This window comes from Homo sapiens, chromosome 16 (genome assembly GCF_000001405.40).
Source record: "Homo sapiens chromosome 16, GRCh38.p14 Primary Assembly".
Classification (NCBI taxonomy): domain Eukaryota; kingdom Metazoa; phylum Chordata; class Mammalia; order Primates; family Hominidae; genus Homo; species Homo sapiens.
The window spans coordinates 49,162,410-49,189,763 of NC_000016.10; the positions used below are offsets into that span (position 1 = coordinate 49,162,410).

The 27,354-nt window shown below is 39.7% G+C and overlaps 1 long non-coding RNA gene across 2 annotated transcripts; it reads left to right on the forward strand.

Annotated features, from left to right (window-relative positions):
* The first annotated feature begins 268 nt into the window (after window positions 1-268).
* Window positions 269-7,490, forward strand: LOC102724847 (uncharacterized). 2 transcript variants are annotated; one of them, XR_933518.3, is made up of 4 exons: window positions 269-432; window positions 1,262-1,388; window positions 6,504-6,613; window positions 7,407-7,490. It is a non-coding gene; the product is annotated as an uncharacterized LOC102724847 (long non-coding RNA). The 2 variants fall into 2 exon arrangements; XR_007065065.1 differs by lacking the exons at window positions 269-432; window positions 1,262-1,388 and adding an exon at window positions 2,953-3,036.
* Window positions 7,491-27,354: the final 19,864 nt, after the last annotated feature.

Below are 27,354 nucleotides of genomic sequence, written 5' to 3' on the forward strand. Positions count from 1 at the left end.
ATGCAGCGAGATGGGGGTCACAATACACTTTCTGTCTTTATTATCATCTTCTCTGCTATAGAAAGTGTTCCGATGCAAGGCCACTAAATTTAGTCTCATTTTATAGACATTACAGAAACACATTTATTCCACCTGAAGGACTCAAAGGCCATGGTGAATGGGTTCCTATCTAGGAAGAAAGTCAGCCTCATTGAATGGAATCTTGTGAAATTCTAGATGTGATTATCTCCTCCATTCTGATGACAGCAACCACAAGGTTCAGGTTTACAGCAATGCTATCTGTACTTGTGGAAGCAGGAGACAACTGTAAGGAGAAGAAACCTCATTGGCTCTTTAATTTGCTCTTGCAGGGAAAATATAGAGAACGCAGGAAAACACCCAGATTGAGATTTGGCTGCCCAAGCTGCAAATACTTAGGAAACCAAACAACTGGTATGTTGTAATTGATGAAATAAGAAGAAGGGGGAAATGCACTTTTAAAGAGATGGAAGAACACACTGTGTGAGTTAATAAGCAGTGCTGCAGAAACCTAAAACATGAGCCATATTTCACCATTTTAATAAAATAATTCCACTGGTTTGAGGCACATTTTTTTCCTTTAAAAAATCCTCATTTTACAATAAATATTTGTTGATCCCTTTTTGCATGTCTAGCCATATAAATTTTCCATGAAGTAGTTAGCTTTTGATGCTGTGGTTTGAAACCTGACTTGCCATGTTGCCTCAATGAGCCCTTTTCTTTCTTTATAATAAGGAACTAATAATAATGCTGAAGTTGAACATTATTATGAGGAGTTCATCCCTAGGATGAGCAAAGTATCTATAGACCTGAGTTAGAATCCTTGCACGTCTGTTATGACCTTGAATGTTATTTTTTTTTTCAAACTTGCTTCTTGGTCTATAAAATGAAAGTAATGAGGTCTACCTCTTAAAAGTGCTCTGGAGATGAAATTATATAATGCAGTAAAGGTCATATCCTGGTGTGCCACACATAGTTTAGGAAATGTGAGGACTACTGAAAAGGTGACACAAAGCCACTTCTTTCCAGATGCTAACATTTAATTAGAACAGACAAGAAGTGGAAGCAGAAAGGTTGCAGTTCTGTTCACCAAACGCAACTGAAAACCTGGATAGAATGCATGGAACTAAGTGAGGACTCCAAAAAGTAAACAGTAGCTAGCACATTGGAGAAGGAAAAAGAACTTGAACTATATGTTTTCCAGTGTAACACTTCCTGAATTTTCTTCCTTCTGATTCTCCAGGCCTGACCTCAAGCACAACCCAAATTCTCGAACCTCATATAAAGTGTGAACCTAAGATACTTAAGAGAAGCCACTAATTTCTGGTTCAGAGTGAAAATAAGGGCACCTACAAAACAGGGAGAGTGAGGTAAATTCCCGAATTTTTTGTTTATGGTTTTCTCTTCCTGTCCCATTCCAGTTCCCAGGCAATCCCCAGTCCCAAAGCTGTAATCCCATAGCCATTGAGAGGCAGGAGGACAGGGGCAAGGCAGAAATGTTGGTGGTTGCCAGCAAATACCTAAAGTTCTGAGGGAGGGTAAGTACCACCTGAACAAGATAGAGGGGCTCACTGTTGCATTCAGCCTTTCTCTGTCTTCCTTCCATTTGACCACAGAGACAGACCCCTTTGTTGGAACTGTGCAACAGAGCAGGGAGACTAAAATCTCAGCTTTTTAGCTGGAGGACCAAGATGCAAAAATCTGGGGAGCCAGACAGTGTCAGAAAGATTGAAGACAGGAGGCAGCTTGAGAAATGAATCCATAGTCATATGTGAATTTTGGGCTCACTCACAAGCTGTGCATGCATGGATATGACTCTGAACAGCATATCTGAGGCTTTCAGAATTGAACCACAGAGCAAATGTTCCCCAGAGTTATGCACATTGGAAGAAATCTAGGCAGCACTGGAAAAGCTTTGAAACCAAACTGACATGGGAAACACAGCCCATTAAAGATTAGCTATAGCCTGAATGCAACTGAGTTGATTGTCTTGCTTTAAAAAAGAAAAAAATCCATAATATTAAAACAAGAGCAATAGTTATAACACAATACTCAAAATTCTTAGGCTATAATCCAAAATTATTTCCCATAGGAAAAAAAATCTCAACAACTTGCAAAGGAAAAGAAAATCAACAGACAGCATACAAGATAACAAAGATGTTGAAATTATCAGACAAAGACTTTAAAGCAGTTGTTATAATCATACTCAGGAAGTAAGGGCAAATGCTCTTGAAACAAGGGAAATATAGAAAGTCTCAGTAGAAAAATAAAAGCTATAAAAATAATGGAGAGGAATATTATAAATAAAAACAATAATAACCAAAACAAAAATTTCACTTGATGCGTACAAAGTAATTTCCAGAGGAAAGAGTCAGTAAACTTGAAGATAGATCAGTACAGAGTATCTAACCTGAAAAATGGAGAAGAAAAATGAAGAAAAAAACAGAATAGAGCCTAAGGAAACTATGAGAAAAGACCCCAAAATTTAACTTCTGCATTGCTGGAGTATCAGATGGAGAGGAGAAGGAGTGTGGTACAGAAAAAATATTTGAATAAATAATATCTAAAAATTTTCTAATTTGGCAAATGATATAAATTTGCATATTCAAAAAACCCCAGTCCAGTGAACTCAAAACAGAAAAAAACAAAGAAATGCATGCAAAGACACATTATAATCAAACTGATGAGAACAAAAGACAATAGAAAAAAATATCGAAAGCTGCCAAAAATAAATAAATAAATAAAATAAAGATGAATGTTACCTATAGGATAACAACAATTCAAATTACTGCTGACTTGTCATAATGAACCATGGAGGCTTTAAAGTAGTGGAACATTTTTTAAATGCTGAAAGCAAAACAGATTCTGCCAACAACAACAACATACCCTGCCAACTCAAAGTTCTGTATACAGCAACTATCTTTCAGGAATGAAGTTGAAATGAAAATATTCTCAGATAAAAGAAAACAAATAGAATCTATGACCAGCATTAGGAGTGAAAGAAGACTAACAGAAATGGTAAACATCTGGGTAAATTTAACAGTTTATTTTTCTCATCTTAAGTTCTTTAAAATACGTATGGTGTAAAGGTATCTATATCTTCTTGGGTATGTTTTGCTTGTTTGTGGCTTTAGAGGAATCAGTTCATTTTATTTAAGATATTAAATTTACATGCATAAATATCCATTTAATGTTTGTGGGGCCTATCGTGACATCTTCTTTCTCATTCTTCTTACTGGTAATTTGTGTCTTCTTGGGTTTTCATTTGCTAGTCTTGTTAGATGTTTTTCAACAAAAAGTGATGAAATACTTGCATATTTCTATGTCCCCAAAAGTGAGCCTCAATCCATACCTCATGCCTTATACAAAAATTAAGTCATATCTAAATGCAAAACTATAAAACTTCTAGAAAAATAGAGGAAATGTGTATAATATTATGTTAGGTAAAAATATTCTTAATGATTCCAAGTACATGATTCTTAGAAGAAAATACTGATAAATTGGACCTCTTCAAAAATCTTTTAAAAGATTACTTTCCAAAAGACACTGTTAAGAGAATAAAAACTCAAGCTACAGATTGAGAGAAAATATTTGCAAGTAATATATTCAACAAAGGACTTATATCCAGAATTTAAGAATATAAAGAATTCTTAAAACTCAACATTAAGAAAAATAACTCAATTAAAAATATAAATGGGCAAGAAATTTGAAAAAAAAAGCCTCACGGAAGAAGACATTGAGGACAAAAAAGCACATGAAAAGATATACATCATCAAGCTTACATCACGAAGTAAGCTGACTATCAAGTGCTACCTACAATACAGAGCAATTGGAATTCTTGCACATTGTTGGTGGGAATGCAGAATGGTACAGGTTCAGTCACTCTGTAAATAGACAATTTCTTATAAAGTTTGACATACGCTTACCTTGAACCAAACATTCCACTTTGGCCAGGCGCACTGGCTCACACCTGTAATCCCAGCACTTTGGGAGGCCGAGGCAAGTGGATCTTGAGTCCAGGAGTTTGAGACAAGCCTGGCCAACATGGTGAAACCCTATCTCTACTAAAAATGCAAAAATTAGCCAGGCGTCGTGGCGTGTGCCCCTAATTCCAGCTGCTCAGGAGGCTGAGGTAGGAGAATCGCTTGAACCTGGGAGGAGGAGTTTGCAGTGAGCCGAGATCGCACCACTGCACTCCAGCCTAGGGGACAGAGCAAGACTCCGTCTCAAAAATAAATAAATAAATACACAAACATTCCACTTTTAGGTAATTACTCAAGAGAAATGAAAACATATGTATGCAAAAGACTTGCACACAAATGTTTATGGCAGGCTTATTTATAATAGCTAAAAACTAGATATATCCCAAATGTCCATTTGCAGGTGAATAGATACATTATGGTACATTCATACAATGAATTACTCCTTGCAATAAAAAGGAATAAACTACTGATATGCACAACATGAATGAATCTCAAAGGCAGTTTGCTGAATGAAAAAAGGCCAGTCTCAAAGACGACATGTTGTGTGATTCCGTTCATATGACATTCTATGAAAGAAAAATTATAGGGACAGAGAATTCCAGTGGTTTCCAGGGATTTGGGGTAAGAGGGGCTTTGGCTACAAAGCCGCAGTACAAGAGAATTTGGGGGCTCGTTAGTACTATTCTGTGTCATGATTGTAGTGGGAGTTACATGAATCTGCACATATGTTAAAACTCCTAGAGCCATACACCAAAAAGAATTAATTTTGTTATTTGTATATGTTTAAAAATGTAAACAATTGTTTAAAGTAGAGGTTAATATCATTTAGGTTGGGGGACTAGTGATTGGCTTTATGTCAGAGATGACGTTTGCCTAGAAATTAAACAAGGATGCCCAGGATTGGAGTGTTTGAGGAGAACAAAGAGTTTCTGGTTGACTGACTAACACAAAAGGTGTTAAGACAAGGCATAATATATTTGGATAAGGGGAAATAAAATTGCTTCCATTATCATAGGAAATAGTAGCAAGGAAAAGAAAAGTAGTGGATCATAATTTTGAAGAAAGTTAGAAGCCAGATTAAAGCACAGAACAGAAGGTACCACAGTAGGTCCTGGTTCCCAAGAATGTTTCCCCCATAGCCCCCCAAATGGATAAAAATACATGACCTTCTCCAGTTTACATCACCATATTGGATTGAATGCGCCGTCCCCCTCCCCACTCAAATCACTAAAATAATTATAATTTCCACAAACATAAAATGTAACTCAGTAAGGGAGACTCACTGCAGGCTGTCACGTGGTTTAAAGGCTCCTGTGCTGTTCATAATGCCCCCCATACACTTTTAGTCTCATTCAGAAAAGCATCTTGGAATTTTAGTGACAGTGATGCTATAAGGATAACCTTCAGTCTATCATAGGTTATTAAAAATTAATAATTTACCAAAAATTGCAAACTTTAGCACTTTAGTTAATTTGACTATTTTTTCTTAATAAATTACTTGCAACACTATATTAGGTTATTGAAACCTTAGAATAAATTTTTACTGTCATTTCAGTAGGCCCTGAAGAAACATGGCATCATCTCCTGTGTTACTGTGGAGCTTATTTCATCACTCAACTCTGTTGGTATTAAGTGGTGAATAAAGTAGACAAGATACTAATCCTTATGGAGCTCTGTGTCTAGTGAACATGAAAAAGATATATGAATGAAACATGGTTAAGGAAAGACACGGTTAGAGAATTGAAGGAAAGATAGAAACCCATGCTGCCAGGAGGTAATTTGTATGTGGATGGAAAAATTGGTCAAGACTCTTTTTGGTTGCAAATTATAGAAACAGAACTCAAACTGGCTTATGCATGAGAGGGCTATCATTGGGTCATGTGACTGAAAATCCAGGGCTGCTAAGCAGGGCTAAGTATGTCTTATCAGCAATCCAGCTCCACCTGTGCACTTTGCTTTCTCCAAGTGACTATTCTCAGACTGCCTTATTCCACACAGTGTCAGGATGGCCACTAGCAGTCTTATACTTACCCCATAATCCCAGAAGAAAGAGAGCTTACCTTTTTCACCTTTTCCAGAAATCACAGGGCACATCTTTATTGTCTCAGATTGGCCCATAAATCATGTAACCATCTCTGGATCAATTTCAGAAACACAGAAATGATGATGGGTTGAGTGGCCAAAGCCAGGCCATATATTCAACAATGGAGCCAGAATCTAGGGTCATTCAAATTTGAACTGATAGTTGGGAGTGCGAGATTGTTCAGCCTAAATGTAGCTACTGTATTTGGATGGAGAGGGAATAGCTGATGGCAGGAAAAGCAATGAAAATAGAGTTTTCCTGAATGGGATTAATATGGGAAGTAAGCTCAGCCCACTCTAGATCCATTAATAAGATTCCAGAAAAACTCTAAGATGGGAGAGCTCTAATTCAAAAGTCTGCCCTCCACAGGTACTCACGTTATGAAATCTGTTCCTTCTTCTGACGCTTATTTCACTTAGGAGTTGGGATCTTTTCTGTTGTGTCTCAGAACTTCAGGGTTAAGACCCTTCCTGGGTGATGGATAAAGGAAGTCATTGTCCAGATGAAAGACTCATGAACTTGGAGACAGGTGATTGCACATGAATCCTAAATATCCCTACTTTCCTGGCTCTCAGCCCCTCATCATGACAATGCAACTGGTGTGGGAATCAAATGAGCCCGTGTTTCATGTCAGATTCTAGAGGAAGACATTATTATTGTTGGCTTCTCATATGTTAGTCTTGCATTATCAGCTTTACTGCATACTCCTTAAGGGAGGAGAATGATTTCTCACCCTGTTTGGTATCCCAAAAAGCCTATCACAAGCCTTTGTAGGTTCTTTGTATTCACACAGTAAGTTCTTCCTAATTGCTTATGAAGTGAGTAAATCAGTGAGTTAGTGAAGGAAAGAGGGAATGACTTTGGGCTTAGAAGCCAATACAAATTTCTCAAATGATTTATTTTATCATGATCACATTTTTAACATCAATGAGCAAAGATAAAAGCCTAATTCTCTGACCTCTGGAAATATTATGTGTAGTTCTGGGCATACCTTTAAAAGACATAAAGAAGCTAGGGGAAGTGAGGGGGAGGACATCGAAAATGATCAAGGAGGTGGAGACAGAGATGCCATTCAAGGATAGATCAAAATGAGCCACTTTGTTCTGGAAATATAAAGGCTAAGAAAGAAATGATCAAAGTCTCTGAGCTCCTGGAGGGGATAGATGGGGTGGAGATTTCCTCTGCCTCTCCCTCCACCCAGTGTCCCTTAATGCTCACATCACAGGCAGAATTTGGGGATTAACTCAATGGGGTCTTTCTCATGACTTTCTCATGCAAATTGAGAGCCATTTTTGAATGATCCATTTTCAAATTCACCTTAGGAATGAAGCCATTGAAGCAACTTGGACGTCGGGAATTCACTGAAGACCAGACTAAAGAGGGGCTTGTTCTAATAGAAATTCATCTAAAAAGTTGGAGATTCTGTAGAAGATCTGATGAAGAGGGCCAATCACTGAGGAAAAATGGATAGCATCCTAAAACAGTGGGTAGTAAGGGAACCGGTATGTCTGATCTTTTAAAGGAAAGAGCAATTAAAGAAATCCTTACAGATTCCTCCTGGCTGAATTGTAGGCTCAATTTCTTTAGAGTATCTTCTGCTCCCATCAAGCTTGCTGACACCTGTCTCTCTGAATCATACTATTGTACTAAGAACAGAGATTCAACATCAGATTAGAGTTTAAACACTGGTTTCTGCAATAGTTAGGAGTCATTGTGTCACAAGTGATAGATAATCTAATTCAAATTGGCTTAAGCATAAAAAGAATTTTTGATTCAAGTTCATGCAATTGTAAAGATGAAACAGGACTCTAACAAATATCATCAAATCAAAATATCTCTTTATTCTTTCTCTCTCTGTGACTGTCTGTCTCTAACTTCCACCCTAAGATAAACTCTGATTCCTTCTTTGTTTAGCCCACAGAAGCTCACGGATTACTCCTGTGTTGCCTAACAACTCCAAGGAAATTAGAACTCCTTTCCAGGAACTCTCATGCAAGTCCTGGGATTCAGTATCATGGGATCAACTAGGTCACATGTCCCTCACTGTGGTTAGCAGGAAGAAAAAACCCAGCTGGCTAAACCGGAGCCACAAGCTCATTCTTGAAGCTGAGGGAGTGCGTCCACCCCCATTTGAATCATATGGACTGATGGGGAGATCCCCAAAGAAAACTTAAAGAACTATTAGCAGAAGAAGAGAAAAACGAAAGTACGTCAGCTAAAATAGCAAAGGTACATTTCAGTTGATGAACACGCCCAGCATTTCTGAAAAGCATTTTGCCAAGTACCTATACAACTCCTATGCATCTCTGTAAGCCTCGCTCAAGAGGCCCTCCCCCAAAAAGCACCCCTATCATCACCCTTCAACTTTCTCCTTGCTCTGAATTCCAATGGCACACAATTTGGCAGCCTGTCTTCTCTCTCCCAGAGAGGTCTTCAGAGATGAGGACCATATATCACCCTCCTCTTATACTGTCTGTCCAAAGCAATGTCAGCTGGAACAAATCAGAACACATAATGTGCACCTGGAAAACAAGCCTCTTTCTAAACAGGGAGGTGAATTTCAACTCAAACTGAGGACAGGCTTTCCAATATGCAGAGCTTCCTAGCAAATGTGAGACAAGGACTGGACCTCTCTGATTAGGGAGGCACCAGAGGAGACTTATGCTCCATCAGGAGAGTACCTGAGCCAGATGAATTTAAAGTTTTGTCTTAAACCTTGTCCTACTGAAACAGAGGCAGATTTGGAGAGTGCTCTTGGGAGATACACCTGTAGAGACATAAGGAAGATTAGATTAAACAGAAGGAAAAGCTGACCCACAAGGAAGCTTCAGCTGAGGATGCAGCCAATCCTAAAGGCAGTTCTGGAACCAGGATGGCTCTTCAGAGTTGTTACAAATTGAGACAAGGTGCTGGTATTTTGCATCAGCCAGTAATTGGCTGTGAGCTCTCCTATGGGCGGGTAAGGCAGTTCCCCACTCCCAAGGGCAACTTCCAGGGAGGGATGCAGCTGTGAGCCCATGCACCTGACATTCCCAGCAATGGGGAATGGATATGTTGCTCTTGAGGAGTGGATGTGGATGGAGCATCCAGCAGCCATTACCTGTTCCATCTAACCTAAGATATTTTGAGATGCCCACTTGTTTTTGAGACTTAATGAGAATTATTTGGCATTCTCTATCTCTGAACTGCTCATGCCAAATCTTAGTACCCGATATAAGTGGAGTCTGGTTGCATGATCAGTTGCTCAGATCAAAGTGGGAAAAATAAGAAAATAAATAGAAATTTGGATTTGATCACTTTCCCTAGAAGTTATTTCCATTAACAATAAATCCTTCCTATATGGCTTAACTTCGTGCTAACGGCTCTCCCAGCCTCCCTAGCAACCCCACCTCCCATTTAACTAGCAAGACATAACCATGAGAGCAACTTTTTAGATATTGAGAGGCTTTGGTACAGACATCTTGATCATTACTAGAGGCCCTGCCCAGCCAGAGAACCCACACTGTCCTCTGAGACCGAGTGGTGTGACATGCAAGTAAATGTTCCACAGCAGGCTCTGGCCAGGGGAGGGCATTATTTGTAGCATTCACCTATTTCTGTGGTGTAAATACTCCCACTGTGGCCAATTTCAAGCTACCAAAGTGTCATTACTGAATACAGAGTTGGAAAAATGTGCACACAATCATTTCTTGCAGGTCTAGGCTTGGATTGGATTAACTCCAAGATAAGTTTTCCCAGAAAAAATGGTTAAAATGCTATGGTATGATTTTTGAAATTTGCCCAAATCTATGGCTGAGAAAAGCATTAGAAAAGATTTGCATTGGGTGAAGATAAAACTGAGAGCTAACTTCACCCAGCCCTAGCCAAATCTTCAAGTATTACAGTGATAGTTATATATGCAGGTTAACTTCCTGAAAATGCCTGTCGAAGCTAATTTATTTTCTCTAGGGCTTCAGCCCCATCCTTGGGTGAAGTCACATAGGCTTATAGAAAGCTCTTATGACTCTGTCAGCTCTCTGCCTCCCACTCTCCTTCCTGAACTTGAGTTCTTTTTTTAATCTCTCTTTTTTTTTTTTTTTTTTTAGTAGTGACGGGGTTTCACTATGTTGGCCAGGCTGGTCTCGAACTCCTGACCTCAGGCGATCCGCCCACCTCGGCATCCCAAAGTGCTGGGATTGCATACGTGAGCCACTGCACCCAGACTTCTAACCTCTTATCTCCCTCATTTCCATCCTATTTTCTCATATCTCTTTTAGCATGTCTTTGCATTAATGATCAAACTTGACTATCTGCTAGATTCTCAATCACATTATTTTCTCCTGGGTCTTTCAGGTCTTTCGTGGTTCTACACCCTGCCATTCTTAGAACAAGCTGGTGACTTGGTCCTTCATTTATTCATTTAAAGGACCACTGAAAAATACCAGGAGAAGGCCTGATTCAGCCCTCTCTGCTGGGGCATGTTTGAGGAGCTTTGGAAAGGAGCAGTATGGATGTCTTCTGTGAAGTCATTTCCAGAAGGCTGAGATGTGCCACGAAGACATTCCTTTCACTCTCTCTCCCCTGATTTATTTTAATACCCTCTGATGGGAAATCCCTCCACACTTCCCAGGTCAGGTTGGTCTCACCTTCCTCAAGACCCTGGGCACAGACCAGAAGAGGCATGTCGCTGCCTACATGTCTCTTCTACCCTTTGAGAAGGAAGGACGGCTGTACTTCCTCCTCACTTCACATGTCCAGCAGCCCTCACCACAAGGCTGGGAATGTGTCCTGGAGTGGAGCTCTTCCTCCCAGATGCAGGACCCTTGTGATCAGAAATAATGTAGGCTCCTGGGAGAAAGTCCACTTTCACTCATCCTCAAACCTGGCTCGACACTCAACAACAGCCAGACAGTGACCACCATGCTGGGACATGAGAACATCTAGGATTGCTCACTGCCATCTTCCCCTGCAGCACAGCCAGACTTCTCTGCCTCTGGGTATTGGCTGAGTTCTTCCTGAGGACCAGGAGAATAGCCGGAGACCCCAAAGGCTTTTTTCCTTTATTCTATGATTACCATAAAACAGAACCATTCTTATCTTTTGTGGGTTGGTGCAGATGGTGGTGAATTTATGTTTCTTCTTTTCACCTTTGTTCATTATGACCTGAAAATGACTTGAACGTGGAGCACCCAGGAAACTTGTCATCCCAGTCACAAGCAGTTACTGGCACAAGCACAGCCATGCTGGAGACATGGAGAGAGTATCCAGAGGAGGGGCTTGGGTCCCACATGGCAGGGCTGCAAGGGAGTCATTCAGGAGGGATTGGAGAGAGGACACCAGGGTTTCAAATTTGCAGGACTTCATAGGTGAGAGACTGCAAACCAGTGGCCTATAGGCTAGATCCAGCCCTTACATACATTCAGTCGATTCATCCCGTGTTTCTCTTTTGATTGAAATTCTTGCCAAATTTTAAAAATCAAAGGATTGCCTATAAATATCCAATTTCCTCTTTCTCTTGAAAAGTCACATCTGGTAATGCTGCAGGTATATTCTCTCACAGCAACAATGGTTAAAACTAGGAAACTGCTGCCTGCTTTATACAGAGCAAGAGCTCTTGGCTTCACCATGCCCCATCAGGCCCACCTTAACCATTTGTAAGTGCTGTGTTTTATGTTTGCCACCCTCACACTGGGCCTTAAAGTCAGTTTTTTTGTTTTGTTTTGTCTTTGTTGTTGTTGTTGTTGTTGTTTTGATTTTTCTTCCATAGCTTCTGTCTCCTCTTCACTCCATACCTCTACATTTTTCCCCTTGGTCCTTTCTGAGATCTCTTCCTGCCTATCTCACTGCTATCCAAGGTCAAAGCATCCAAGTTCTGGGCTGGGCACAGTCAAGCAGACCTTCTCTCCCTGGTGGCTGATGGCTGCAAGTGGCAATCAGAAATAATACAATCTATGGAACCGAACTGGGTTTTAAATTCCAGCTCCCCCCCGTCAACTTCTCAGTCCCGATCTATAAAATGGAAGTACAAATCTCTAAGTCTATGGACCTTCACTTTATCTCTTCCTCTTAGAATCCTACCCATCTTCAAAACCCAGATCAGAGCCCATATTGTGTTGAAAGGTTTTCCCTTTGGGCCTTATTCTTCATATCCAGTCTTTTGTTGTAACAAAATATGTCTCTTTAGAGCAGAGGTCATCAAACTCTTTCTGTAAAGTATTTTAGGAGTTGTGAGCCATTTGGTCTCCATCCCAGCTGCTCAGTTTTACTGTTGAAACACAAAAGCAGCCATAGACAGTATGTAAACAAATCACAGGGGCTGTGTGCCAATAAAACTTTATGGACCCTGAAATTTGAATTTCATATCATTTTCACTTATCACAAGATAACATTCTCTTTTTATTATTTTTCAACCATTTAAAAATATGAAAACCATTCTTAGTTCATAGGCTATACAAAAACAGGAAGGCAGTAGGCCAGATTTGGTTCATGGGCCTTAATTAGCCAACCCCTGTCCCAGAGAGTAATTGCTTGTAATTGTTCCTTCTCTTCTCCCTGCTCCCCATCCATCCCTCTCTCTCTTCCTTCCTCTTTCTCTCCTTTTTTCTTCTCTCATGTACTCTGCCTTGCTCTCTCCCCTACCTCCATCTCCCCATCCCAACTCTCTCTTTCCCTCCCTCTCTTCCTTCCTCTTTCTCTCCTTTTTTCTTCTCTCATGTACTCTGCCTTGCTCTCTCCCCTACCTCCATCTCCCCATCCCAACTTTCTCTCTTTCCCTCCCTCTCCCTCTTCTACTAGGTTTTGAGCTCCTCAAGGACAGGCACATTTTCACTTCTCCACCACCCAGGCTCAGCGCAAGAAATGCTTTCCCCAGAATAATTCACATAATTATCTCTCTGCTTTAGGATACTGCTACCAACTTCAGGCTAGTGTTCGGATCTTGCCATTGCCTTTATGTCTTGAGTGGATTCATGGGAAGCACAAATTCTAATAGAGAAAACATGTTTTTTATGAAATGTCATTTTCTCATTAACACTAGAAGTAGAAGAAAACATTGCCAACTGCTTTGAGAGTTGGGGGGAAGTTTGCTCTGAACCCTTCAGATGACTAAACCTATGAAGACTCCAAAGTCATGATGCCACATTTCTAAAATGCTGTCTAGCCCACAACCTGGAAAGCCTTTGTTATAGATCTGTTCCCTCCAGCTCTCCCCGCAGCCCTGAATGGGCAAAGATTGTCATCCTATTTTTACAGCTGAGGAATCACTGCTGAGAGAGGTTAAATAACTTTCTCAGAGGCTCAGCATGCCAAGGAGAGAAAGCAGGTTGTCTATGCAATTTTTCCTCTCCTAGGGCTAAAGAGTTAGAAGTTCATCCAAGACTGCAAGCAATTAAGTTGGGCTTTGTTTGCTGAGTCTGGGGCAGACAGCCTGCTCTGCCAGGGTGATATTTTATCATACATAAATTCTTCTCCACCCTAGGGTTGTGTTTGGCATTTCCCTGGGTCTTCAGAACACAGTTGCACATACTTTCTGTATCAGCACAGAGTTTTAAAAAATTATCAAATCATCTACTGCATTCTGATTGCACTATCACTGCCATGACAGAAATATGTTGTTTTTCCTTTCCTATCATTGATCTTCCCTTTTCTGATGACACCACCTCAGATTTCTTCTGAAGAAACAACCCCTTCTTCAGGCTTAGTCCATTGGTTCATGTGAGGTCTCATCTTTCAGTTTCAAAAGAGATGCATAGCTCAGTCCTGATCAATCAGAATATTTCATCTCCCTAGGCCTGGAAATTAGTTCAGGAATGGAGATGTGACTCAATCAGGTAAATGAGATAAGAGTCCCTTGGTTTTGTGGGAACTATTGACAAGGAGAACCCATCTGTACTATGGCTGCTTAGCTAGGAGGGCATAAGGCTGGTGTCACCTGGAGAAAAGGCCTGCAGGAGAGTAAGTCTAACACAGAAGAGAGCAAAGCTGTGGCACGGGGAGCAGAGAAGTCGAACACATCACTTGAGCTTCAGGACCCATTTGTGCCTGATGCCAAACTCTCAGCTTCTTGGGCTAATAAATCTCCTCTGGGTTCTTTGTTCAGTCTGTGTGAGATTTGAAAGCCTCATACCCCTTATTTTCTCCTAAGCCTGTTGCCATCTTTTCCCACTCCCTGTTCATTGGACTTCTATGCCTTGGATTCTCCCTAAGAGTACTTCCAAATTCAGTCTAGACTTCAAGACTCAGGTCAGATCCCAGGAACCACTCTCACACCATGGATCCAAAAAAGGATCTGTCTCTCTCTGAATTTTCAATTATGACTAGGGTGGGTGATCACATGGAGATGAACATAGGTTGGTGGACTCAGGGAATCTTTGGGAAATTGTGCAAACGGGACTTGCAGATGGTTTGGATGATGGATTATACACATAGGAGACTGTCCTTGGTGACCAGCGTGTTTTGAGCTGGTCATGTTCAGTTTACTATCTTCTCCCACCACTTTCCTCTGTTCAAATTACTACAAAATCAGACACATGATATGTATTAAGGAAACCTCAATTCTCTTCTCATTAGCCTATGAAAATTTCACACACTGGGTTTTCTCATGGATATAATACCATGATAATAATGCAAATACTAATGCCTTAGCTTCCCTTCTGAAATAATGAAAATACTAAAATTGTTCATTAAAAGTGACTATTGAGTTAAGACATATGCTTAGAACAGTGCCTAGCACACAGTAAGTGTCTAATAAATGCTACCTATCTATTATTACCATTCATGTTACTATTAGCAGTACTGCTACTACTACTTCTTCATACTGATGTGGTCATAAACATAAATCCAAACACAGGCACCATATGGCAGGAATCCACATAAAGAGCTTATCTTCATGATCCAGAATATGATCATGTTAATTTTGTTTAGATTCTCTTCAAAATGGGACCACAAAACTTAAAAGAAATCAAGATCCCAAGACTACAGAAATAGCAGCCAAATTTGCCAAAATTTGAAAGTCTGTGCAAGTCACGTGCTGACCCAGGGGGATCTTTGAAGAAGAAGTGGTTAGAAGGCTGTAGATAGGGGACACACAGTCGGAAGATTTAGCTGGGAGAAGGTTTGGGGGTTGCGGAGACGTGAGACAGTAAGAAATCGTATCTTTTCTTGATATCAGACTGACCTGATAGCTGACTATGGCCCCAGAAAATGTTATTAGAAATGCAGCACCAGTGGAGTTCAAATGCATTTTTAATATCTTCTAAATGCTTAATTTGGTTTTGCTGGAGATGTGTTTCATCATTCCCTCCTGCCCCTTAATTAAGCTAATGACTTTATTTCTTTTCTCCTTTCTGATCAGCTCATAACACATTTCCCAGGCTGGTCTCCCTCCTCAAGCCTGTTGTTTTTGATCTGGTTATTAGCTTTCAAGCTCACATTGTTTTCCATGTGTCAGAATGTTACTGACTGACACTGATCCATTCTGGAGACTCTGGGGCTGGGGGGACTTCAGCTGGCACCATCCCTCCCACTCCTACAAAGAACAAAATCCCTTCCATGTGCATGCCACCTAGGAATTCACCGGGCACTCACACACACATTATCTTGATTGATCCTCCTGAGCAACCACCAAGGTAGGCATGATTAGCCCCTCCACTTCACAAACCATGAGCCTGGAAGCCAGAGCAGTTAATAACCAACACAGGCTAAACAGCATGGAGATAACAGAACTGAGACTCCACTCACCTGCCTACGCTCTTGACTCTTCATTCTGCACCACTGTGCCTACTGCAGTTCTTTTCATTTGAGCCCATGGTGCTTCTCTGGGCACTGCATGTGTACACACAGTCATGGCATTTCAGCCAGGCAGGCACAGACCACTAAGGACACCTCACCAGGATCAGAGAAGAGCCGTACTCTGAGTGGGTGTCCTCACTCCATTTGTGCTCCATGGAGAAGTTAGCCCTTGGATAAACCCAAAAATGACAGCTCTATCTTTGATGGGTCAATTATAGGAAGTTCTGAAGATGCCTTTCCTCTGGAGAATGACTTCATGAGGGTTATCTGAAAACTCCCCTGGCATGACTCAGAAACTCTTTTGGGGACCAATGAATGGGGTAAAGGGGGTGACTAACACCCCCTTTCCCAAAGAGTCAGCCTCCCACCATTAAAAACTCCAGGGAATAAGAACTTACTTCCTTGGGAATGTGTGATGATGACTCCATTTCCAGATCAATGAGAAAATTCAACAATGAGTTGAAGGACCATGAGAAACTTCTAAGGTCCCTTTAACATCTAATCTATGGACTTCACTAATTTAATCAACTTACTTTACAGAGGAAACATCTGCTCTGATGGGGCAAGTGACTTGTCCAAGATCACCCATCTAGTTAGAGATGGTTATCTAGAAAGGGAACACAATCAGAAGGAGTAAGCAGGTCCTTACACTGGGAGATGGATGGTGCAAGGGTGAGAAAGTAGAAGGATTAGATCACTCTCAGACAACTTATATTCCCCCCTTATTGTAAGAAATGCCAGTGGAATGATGTCACCTTACAGGAGGAACAGAACTACTCTGTTTGCTTGGGGGTCTTTGTGCTTGGTAAAAACAGAATCATTTACAAAACCAAAGTTTTCTTTACTACAGAGATGAATCTGCAGAAGTCCCAGGGATACCTTGGTCATAAGAAGTCTCAGGTACAAGTTATCCAAGATGGAACAGGAGTTCAAGAGCACATCTATTTACTGGACAAAATAAAGCTCCATGGTAAGACAGTTTGCATCTGACAGTCCACTTGTGGCCATTCCCCCACATCCCACTCTCTCGATGAGAACTGAGACCTTCAATTCAGTGGTACCTGGGCTCAGGAACAGCCTGAAGGTAAGAGCTCTGCCCCACCACCTTGGACAATGAGGACATTTAAAGAGACTTAGTGGACCAAGCATGATGCAGAGGAAGAAATATGGGCTCAGACTTCTGTGCTGAGAAGCTGAGAAGCAGAACAAAAGGAAGGAAATTTCCCCCAGGTTCTGAAATAGTCAAGCTGTCACTCAATAAGATGAGAGATTGGGCAGTCACAGAGAAAACAGAGATTTGGCCAGGGATTTTGCCCGTGGAATCACAATCTGGAAATGTTTCTTTCTGGCTGCCCTGGAAGTTCACCATTTCCAAGCTGCATGAGAAGCTGAATGGGCTCTTTCTCCAATGGATTGATCATTGTGCCCAAGCTAATTACTGCCTTAATACCCTACCTCCTGCAGATGGCAAATTGGGCACAGATAAGACAAGTGGCTGGTCCAAAACCACAGGCTGAGTCAGTGGCAGGGATGGGAGTAAGGTTGAGTAACCAGTGGCCCTTCCTTTTGTTACCCTGGCCAAGAAGCAAGCCCTGCCAGAGCAGCTGCCCTTCCCTGGTGCACTGAGATGGGCTGGGATGACATAGTTGAGCCCTGCTCCACCCTCTGCTCCCTAGCTTCCCAGGTGAGCTGTGGCCTGCAGATCTGCTGTGCTGGGAGAATCTGCTTGCTGCAGGATAATATTAGCTCACTTTTATTGCCATGGGCTGGGCGCCCTCCGGCAGCTTGGCTGTAAACCTTTGATCCACTGGGCTCCAGGAGCTGCAGATTTTGACTGTGTGCTCAGCCCTAGACTCCCCACACACTGCATGGGGCAGGCAGAGAAAGGAGGGGCCCACAGGCAGAAATTCAACTCCTCTGCAGCCACCTCAAAAAACAGCAGCACTCTGAGGCAGTCAGGTTAGAAGGGGAGAGGGACACTGTTTCACCATCGTGTTCTCCAAGACCCACCAGTGAGTGTTCCCCAGACCCAGATGCTTGTATACCACGCTCATGATTTGCCCCATAATAACTGCATTATTTATTTTGTATTTTTATTTAAATTAATTCACCATGGATGGTAAAACTCAAATTTATTTTGAAAGAAGTTTCAGAATACTTCCACAAATAGAAAACTAATACCACTTGCTTTTTTGTGGGAATTGAACAATGAGAACACATGGACACAGGAAGGGGAACATCACACTCTGGGGACTGTTGTGGGGCGGGGAGAGGGGGAAGGGATAGCTTTAGGAGATATACCTAATGCTAAATGACGAGTTAATGGGTGCAGCACACCACCATGGCACATGTATTCATATGTAACTAACCTGCACATTGTGCACATGTACCCTAAAACTTAAAGTATAATAATAATAAAAAAATAAAAAAATAAAAATAAAAATAAAAATCTGTTGCTTTACTGTGGAAAAAAAAATCAATGTAAGATCACACCTACAATCTCAGTGCTTTGGGAAGCAAAGATGGGAGGATTGTTTGAGTACAGGAGTTCAAGACTAACCTGGGCAACATAGCAAGACCTCATCTTTACAAATAAAAAATAAAATATTGGCCAGGCATGGTGGCTAATCACTTGAGCCCAGGAGTTTGAGGCTGCAGTGAGCTATGATCCCACCACTGTACTCCAGCCTGGGCAACAGAGTGAGATCTTGTCTCAAAAACAAACAAAAAAACCAATGTAAGAAAAACAAAAGTACTTCCTAAATTTCAGCTAGATACTGTTTCTTGCCTTGGACTCTGAGTTTGAAGTCTGGAATGTTAAGACAGGCTAGCGCCAAACTCATACTTTCTTCTTGGCATAATGAGAATTTTTAAAAGAACTGTAGAGACAATGAGGCCATACACCACCTAAAACCAACCACTGTGTCTCCTGAGTTACATAGACCACCCCTCAGGAAATACTGTATACTTTTGGTTTCCCCCACCCACTAGCTCCTGGATCTATCAGCACTTTTTACCTAACATTACATGTGTTTGTAGACATATGTGCTCTTTCTCATGAGATTGAAAACATCTTAACTTCTAGTCACCCTTTGATATCTATTTAAGACTAGGAGTTTGTATCAAAACTTCTAAACAAGGCCTGCCACAAAGTAGACAAAAAATAAGCATTTGGCATTTCTCTTGGATTTGGTTTGGTTCATCTCAAATTTCTATCATCCTCCCACCCACCAAAAAAGAAAGCACAGGAACTTGCAGTAGAAACCAATCTCTCGGCTGGTGTTCACATACACACGGTGTCAGGAAGAACTGCTAACATCCGTTTGATTGATCCAGGCCTGGAATTCTGCCACCATAAAGGAGACTGAGCTCCCTGGCATTGAAAGCATTCAATTAGAGGCTGGGAGGCCCCTTGCAGTGGATAGGGATTTGGGTGAGATTACTCAGAAGTGCATTCTAACCCTCAAAAGCCGAGACTCCAAGACTCTGGGCTCAAGTTTAACTAAACTTCCCAAAGTTAGTAAGAGCAATGCATGGCCAGGTTTGGTGTATGTGTGAGCACAGGTGTGTGCATGTATGTGGTTGCGAATGTGCACAGGGTCACTTGTTCCCTTAGGTCCAGCATTTCCTCGTCTCATCTGGCAAGGCAAGTTTAACCCCTTAGTGCCAGGCACTGGGATCGCATGCTGTCTCTCTGCTGACAAGCTTCCTTGCAAAGGCCCCAAGGGGTTAATTAAGTTTTATTGAGCCAGAGTTTATTGCAGCTGTCTCTTGTCTCTCCCCTTAAACACCTCTGCTTCCTGGGAAGCTGGAGTCCTCTGGGACAATATTTTTAACTCTGTTTATTTTGCCTGTAACCTATATTTTATTTTATTTGTTTTTCGAGATACTCTAAGGGGAGGGTGGGTGAGGTCATTTCCCCCTGCCCTGCTCTTTATCTGTTGGTGACTCCATTAGATCAGATTGTTTAAATGGAGCGCAGATGTTGCTGATTTTTCGTATAAAGGAATGCATATTCATTTACATAAATTTCAGTGAATGATGGCAGTTTGGGTTTTACACTGCATGTGTGCTTGTGTGTTACACAGACTTGCCGGGCTCCCTCCAGGAAAGAACTGTCAAAGGCCTAAATAGGAAACCTTTCATATTCATGATGTGTTCATTTCCTTGCTTTATTTTATTTTATTTTTGAGACTACCAATCCTTTTCCAGTTATCTCTAATAGCTTAATACGATTAGAGATTTCCTCTAATCACTGCTCAATGTGTTTCTGCTCTATCAAAGATTTATATGACAGCTTTATGGAGCACACCTTTTTAGAATTCAGAAGGATTTTACAGGTTATTATTCATAACATCTGCCACTTACTGCAAAGAGCCTTAAAACACCCCTTTAATGTGTATTTAATGCTTCTGATACAATATAATATCAAATAAGATGTGTTTTATTATGGCAGCCGTGTTTGTGTAACCACACTAAAGATCTGCCACTGTTGTATGCTGCGGTGGACGGTTTATAATGACCATAAAAACCTGCATAGAGCTAAACTTGGCATTTAAGGACACACCGAGAGAAATGGTGCTTTAGGGTTTTTTTCTTTCTTTCTTTTACTTGTCTTGGTGCAATGTGGAAAGAAGCAATTTCACAATTTAAAGAGCCACTGAACATAATCTGGGAATAAAACAGTGGTCCTTGGAGAAGTATTAAGGTCAACTATTATTTGAAAATAGACCTCACCTGCCTGTGCTCACAGATCTAAGCTGCAGCCAGTCTGGGCCAACCAAGATTATGGGGTTCAACTGATTCGTCCAGATGTTTCTCTGACCAAAAGAATGTAGCACACCTTTTATTATTCTCTCCCATTAACCTGACATTTTTACCAAACAGCATCTTTTAACAACTCATTTTCACATTTTAATGTATGAAAGACGTACACAGTATGTATGTCTTTAACTAAAAAGGGGTGATACATATTTATCAAGATGCTAACGACAGTTGTGTTAGGGTGGTGGAGTGGATTCTGCAGTGTTGGAGAGACTGGAGCGGAGCAGAAAGAATGCAGACGTGGGTTCAGCTCCTAACCAGCTTGCATGGCTTTGGATAAGGTATCAATCCATTCACCCTCTGTTTGCTCCCCTGTGAAATGGAAATAATGCCTATGAACAAAGTTTACCTAATTAAATGAAATAATGTATTTAAGGTGCTTGGCAAAGTGTCTGGCACTTTGAAGGCGATCAGTGCTGTGTCGCATTTTTATAAGGTGATAACAGTATGTTTGGGGTGAAAGAAATACATATTTACTTCTTTGTTATAGGGTATCTATAACTGCCAATCAGAACTTTGGGTCAGCAACACTAGCACACTGAGTAGACAATTCCAGGCACAAGCAATGACTGTCACGTCTGTATGAACCTGTGCTGCTATGGTGCCTAAATGCATGCTGTGTCTTAGGTTTTAGGGAATACTGCAAATAGACTACAGAGTCTTAGAAGGGAAACTTCTGAATGAATCTGGACACCCTCATTTTGCAGAAGGAGGGTCTGGGGTCCAGAGAGAGAAAGGGACTTGCCCCAATCACACAGGAAGAAAGGTGTAAACCGGGGCCCCTACTTCTCTCTCACCCCTGACCCCAGCCAGGGGCAGATGTGGGCCTTCATTGTTGAGGCTGGGGCCACTGCTATTTAATGAAAACATACTGAAGCAGCCCCTTGGAATTGCTAGCTCAGCTTTTCCTTACGTTTGCTTATCCCTGTATTCCACCCTGGTCCCACGCATTCCTTTTTGGTGGGCTTAACCCAAGAAGCCCTGTGGTCCTGGTAACCATCTCCAGGATCTGCAAGCTCCAGAGGAGGAAGCAGACAGTATCTACCCAGGCCTTGGGTGTGCCCAGGTGGTTGCTGCTGGGGGTAGCGAGAGTGAGCAGCAGCGGCCCCTTTTGGTGTATACATTTACTACACCTGGTGATTCTGAGGTTGGAACTCCCTAAGTGGCCACTGGCCAAATTTGCTGAACACTTGACTCTCAAACAGCCCTCATTAACGATACACAGCCATCTCCTTTCTGATGGGTTTGGAGTAAATATGTAATCGGGGAGTTTTTAAGACATGTTCTGTAAAGTGCCGTCTGCGTCTGCTATTTGGTTGTTTTATGCGATCATCAAAACTATTCTAGGGACGAAGGGGAGGAATGATACAGGCAGGGTGGGGACGGGGTAGGCATTGATACAGGTTGTTTGCTGCCTGATCTGCAGGGTTCAATTACCAACATGGGTAAAAACCCTGAGGACCTGCAAAACACTCATGCGTATACAGAAGGTTACGTATCCTTTCAGCACTCCTGGGAGACTCAGAAATGACAAGGTCACCCGGACGTAAATGACAGCTCTGAAATTTTTTCTTTCTCAAAAAATATTTTAGAGTTCTTTTATTACCAATGTTTTATTATGAAAATATTGAAGCATATAGTAAAGTTAAAGGAATATTACAGTGAATCACAGTATCTAGATTCCACTACGAACAGTTTACTATCCATGCTTTATCACGTTATTTACCCATCTATCCATTCTTTTAGCCATCCATTAATCCATTTTATTTGGGGTATAAGTCAAAGTAAATTGAAGACTTTATATATTTTCCCCTAAGTAGCCCAGCATGGATTTTATTAAAAGAGTTCAAATTTTGTTTGCAGTTTCTTTGTGCTGATATAAAATTTACATATAATAAAATGTAAAAATCCTAAATGCATTCCATGAGTTTTAATGAGTGTTCACACCTGTGTGACTCAAAACTCCTACCAAGTTCTAGAACATTACTATCACTGCCAGGGAATACCCTCTTGCATCTTGACTATAAATTCTTACCTCCATTCCCCAGAGGCGACTGCTATTCTGATTTCTTCCCACTGTAGACTAGTTTTGTCCTGTAGAATTTCATATAAATGATTACATAGTAGATACACTTATTTAAGACTTATTGGATTCAAAATAATGATTTTGAGATTCATCCATGTTATTGCATATGTTGGTAGTTTATTCCTATTACTGAGTAATATAGTATTGAACAAATATACTACTTTATTCATTCTCTTGTCAATGGACATGGGTTATAACTATTACAAATAAAGCTTCTATGAACATTCCTGTACAAACCTTTTTGTAGACATATATTTTCTTTTTCTGTGGGTCAATACTTAGAAGTGAAATCACTGGGTCATAGGATAGCATGTTCAGTAAAGTAAGAAATCACCAAATCTTCTTCAAAAATGATTATAGCATTTTACATTCCCATCAACAATATATGAGGGTTCAAGTTGTTTCACAATCTTACAATATTTGGGGTTGTCAGTTTTTTCAGTTTAGCTATTCCAATAGATGTGGAATAATATCTCAGTATGGTTCTGATTTGCATTTCCCTAATGACTAATGATGTTGTCCATTTTTATGTGTTTATTAGACAAGCATATATCTCCTTTTGTGAAGTATCTATTTAAATCTTTTGTCCACTTTTGATTAGGTTGTTTGTCTTTTTATTGTTGAGTAATAGGAGCTATTGATATATCCTAAATACCAGTCCTTTTCCACACACATGTTTTGACAATATTTTCTTATCTGTGACTTGCCTATTTATTATCTTACATTTACCTTTTAGTGAATAGTTTTAATTTTGATGAACTCTAATGATTTTTTATTGACATTGCTGTCTGTGGGCTGTGCCTACTTCTCTAAAAGCTGTATGATTTTAGCTCTTGCATTTACATCTAAATATATCTTGAATTGATTTTTATGTATTGTATGAGGTAGGAACTGTGCTGTGATTACTTTTTGAATAATATGGGTTTAGAGTTCTTTCAGTACAATTAATGGAAAAGATTTTCATTTTGCCATTTGATTGCTTTGTTGCATTTGTTGAAAATCAAATCATAAATGCATAAGTGGGCATTCTCTATTTCATTTTATGGACCTATTTGTCAGTCCCTATGCCAATATCATATTGTCTTCATTACTGTAGCTTTATATTAAGCCTTGAAATCAGGCTAAAGAAACCCTCCAGCTTTGTTCTTATTTTTCAAGATTAGATAGTTGGTATATTTTAGATCTTTGGATTTTCATGTAAGTTTTATAATCAGCTTGTCAGTTGCTACGAAAAAATTAAAAATCCTGTTGGAATTTTGTTTGGGATTGCATTGAATCTTTAAGACGACTTGAGGATAATTGAACAGTGTTGAGTCTTCCTATTCCTGAGCATGGTATATCTCACTATTTCTTTAGGTCTCCTTTAATTTCTCTCAGCAATGTTTTCTAGTTTCTAGTGTGGAGATTTTACATAGCTTCCTTAAATTTATTCCTAAGTATCTTAGGTTTTTGACACTATTTTAAATGAATTTTGCTTTTTAAATTTTATTTTCTAATTGTCAATAGTTTATAAATATACCTTTTATTTTTGTGTATTAAGTTAATGCACTGCAACCTGATTAAATGCATTTGTTAGTTTTAACAGTGTATCTATAGATTCCTTAAGATTTTCTACATAAATAATTATGTCAGTTTATAATAATTAAATTTTGCTTCTTTTTTATCTTTATGATTTTTATTTGTTTTTCTTGCCTTGTTGCAATAGCTAGGGCCCCCCAGTACTATATTAAATAGCAGCAATGAGAGTAGGCAAATCTTGCCTTGTTACTAATCTCAGGAAACATGCATTCTTTCATTATTAAGTAGGATATTAGCTGTAGGGTTTTTTGTGTGTGTGTTTCTTTTTAAATTTAAGCCAGAATAGCATTTTATTTACTTAGAAAAATAATTATAAATGTGGCACAGACTGAACTGTCATGTACTCTGATTTTCTCCCATAAAGAATTCTATATAAAAAGCCAGATCACAATCAGAAAAAAAATAACAATATTAAGATTTGACCAAGAAAAATCTAGCCTATGTAGTCCGGTTTACAGTAGAACCCCAAAATAAACTATGCATGTGTATTTTTATTGTTGTTTGGTACTATATTTTTAATTTATATAATCTATCAAAGTGAGTTTTTCCAGCTTTATTGAGGTATGATTGACAAATAAAAATGCATATATTTAGGGTGTGCATTATAATGTTTAGATATATGTATACATTGTGAAATGACTATCATAATCAAGCTACTGAACACATCTATCACCTCACATAATTACCATTTTTGTGTGTGGGGAAGGAACACTTGAGATTTACTCTCTTAGCAAATTTCAAGTAAATGACACAGGGTTATTAACTATAGTCGCTGTGCTGCACATCAGGTCTCCAGTACTTATTCCTCTCATAACTGTAGGCTTGCACCCTGTGGCCAACATCTCCCTTTTTCCCAAACTTCCAGCTTCTGGTAACCACCATCCTACTCTCTAAACAAATGCTATATGATGTCTCTTATATGTGGAAGCTAAAAAAGTCAAACTCATAGCTGTAGGTATTTTTGTAGATATCCTTTATCAGATTGAGAAAGTTATTTTCTATTTGTAGTTGGATGAAAATTTTTTATCAGAAACTGATTTTGAATTCTCAAATGCTTATTCAGCATCCATTGAAATGACCATATGTTTCTGTTTTGTTTTGTTTTCTGTTAAACCATCCTTGCATTCCTGGGATAAACACTGCAATGTTATGTTGTCACCTATAATTTTTATTTCATAATTGTTAAAAGTATCATTTTATACATATTTAGACATGAAAATAAAATATCACTCTAGTACATACATAAAAAAAATATAAGCTACACAAATAGGTAGCTTATCTTTTAAGTGATCTTTAAGAATAAGTGAACTTTAAGAATAAGTTTAAGTGATCTATTATACAAGTATTCACAAAATTTCTTTACATTTAGAGTCCAAATCTTGTTGATTACTTTTATCTCTGAATCATCAGTGCTGCTGTTTTTCTATACAGTGTTGTATTCTTTGCAAATCAAAAGGATTGTAATGTAGAATTTACTAAAATTATATTCCATTTTTATCTTCAGGATTTTCTTCCAGGCTACTGTCACCACTGCTATAAGCTCTGATGTCATGCACAAACACTGACAACCACGTAATAACTCTCATCTTTCTAACACAATTGTAGGTTCAAAAGTAAACAAAATGTACATTATACCACTGCCAAATATAGTAATAACTTTAATTTTTCTTGTATTACTAGACAGATTTGTAATGGGAAATTTTATTTACCACATGACGGATGTTTGGTCAAGTTTGAAATTTTACAGGGAGAAAATACTCAGACAAAAAAAGTTATTTTATTTTTTAAAAATAAAGAACATGATTTTTTCAAATAAAAATTGCATATATTTATTATATACAACATGATGTTTTGAACTATGTATATATTTATGATAGCTAAATTGAGCTGATTAACATATGCATACCTCACATACTTATTATTTTGGAGTTGAGATATTGGTCAAAGAACACACAATTTCCATTAGGTAGGAGGAATGAGTTTAAGTGCTCTACTGTACAACATGGTGACTATAGCTAATAAGAATGTACTGTATTCCTGAAAATTGCTAAGAGTAGCTCCTAGGAAAAAATCTTAATAGATACTTAAGAAAATTAATTAAAAGCCTTCAGGAATAGTTTATGCCCACTTTTAACTCTAGACAGTTTACAAATAAAGGGGGCTTTGGAAGATCATGTAGTCCAATGAGATCACTGAAAGTTGGGGATATGGACACTTGACTAGTCAATTAGACCATAAGCTTCTTGAGAGCAGAAACCAAGTGTGTTTTGGTCATCACAATAACACCTGTGCCTTCATATCTTTTGATATGTAGTCAGTACACAATAAATACTTTCTGAAAGGATGGATAAATGTCTGAGGCATAGAGAAGGTATCAATTTGTCCAAGGTCACATGGAGGAGATTTACTGTCTGATGGGACTAGAATTTGGGTCACTTGACTCTATTGGCCTATATTCAGTCAACCACCACATCCAACTAAGAGTTGGAACAGTTTTCTGACCTTGCATAGGCTCTCTGTGTGTGAGTTTATGTATGTGTGCCTATATGTGTGTGTGTGCCTATGTGTGTGTAATTTTGGGATCCTTTGTGTGCACCATGGATCTTTCCTCATATAGCATCAAGTACAAAAGTCTAGACCTTGTTGTCATAGCATAATGGGAATTTCTGTCTTTCCTGTCCCCGTGCCATCACTGAAAGTGAGTCACAGCTGCAGTATGCAGCTATTAATCACTCCTGTTAGCCAGACTGCATCTCAGTGGCATGTTGTGCATTATTAAATTATGCCATCACTCACTCTTGGGCTGCTGTGTTTAACTGCATGGAAAGAATTACTGATCAAATCTCCCCAAATACTTTCTTCCCTAGCACAAATCAAGCCCTGTTTGTGCAAAGGTCACATGGCTAAATGCCATGGATAATGAAAACCACTTCAGGCTCTGGCACAACCATCTCCAGATACACACCAACTGAGCCAACCCCCTTCTTAGCTTCCCTTCTGAACACAGGCATCTC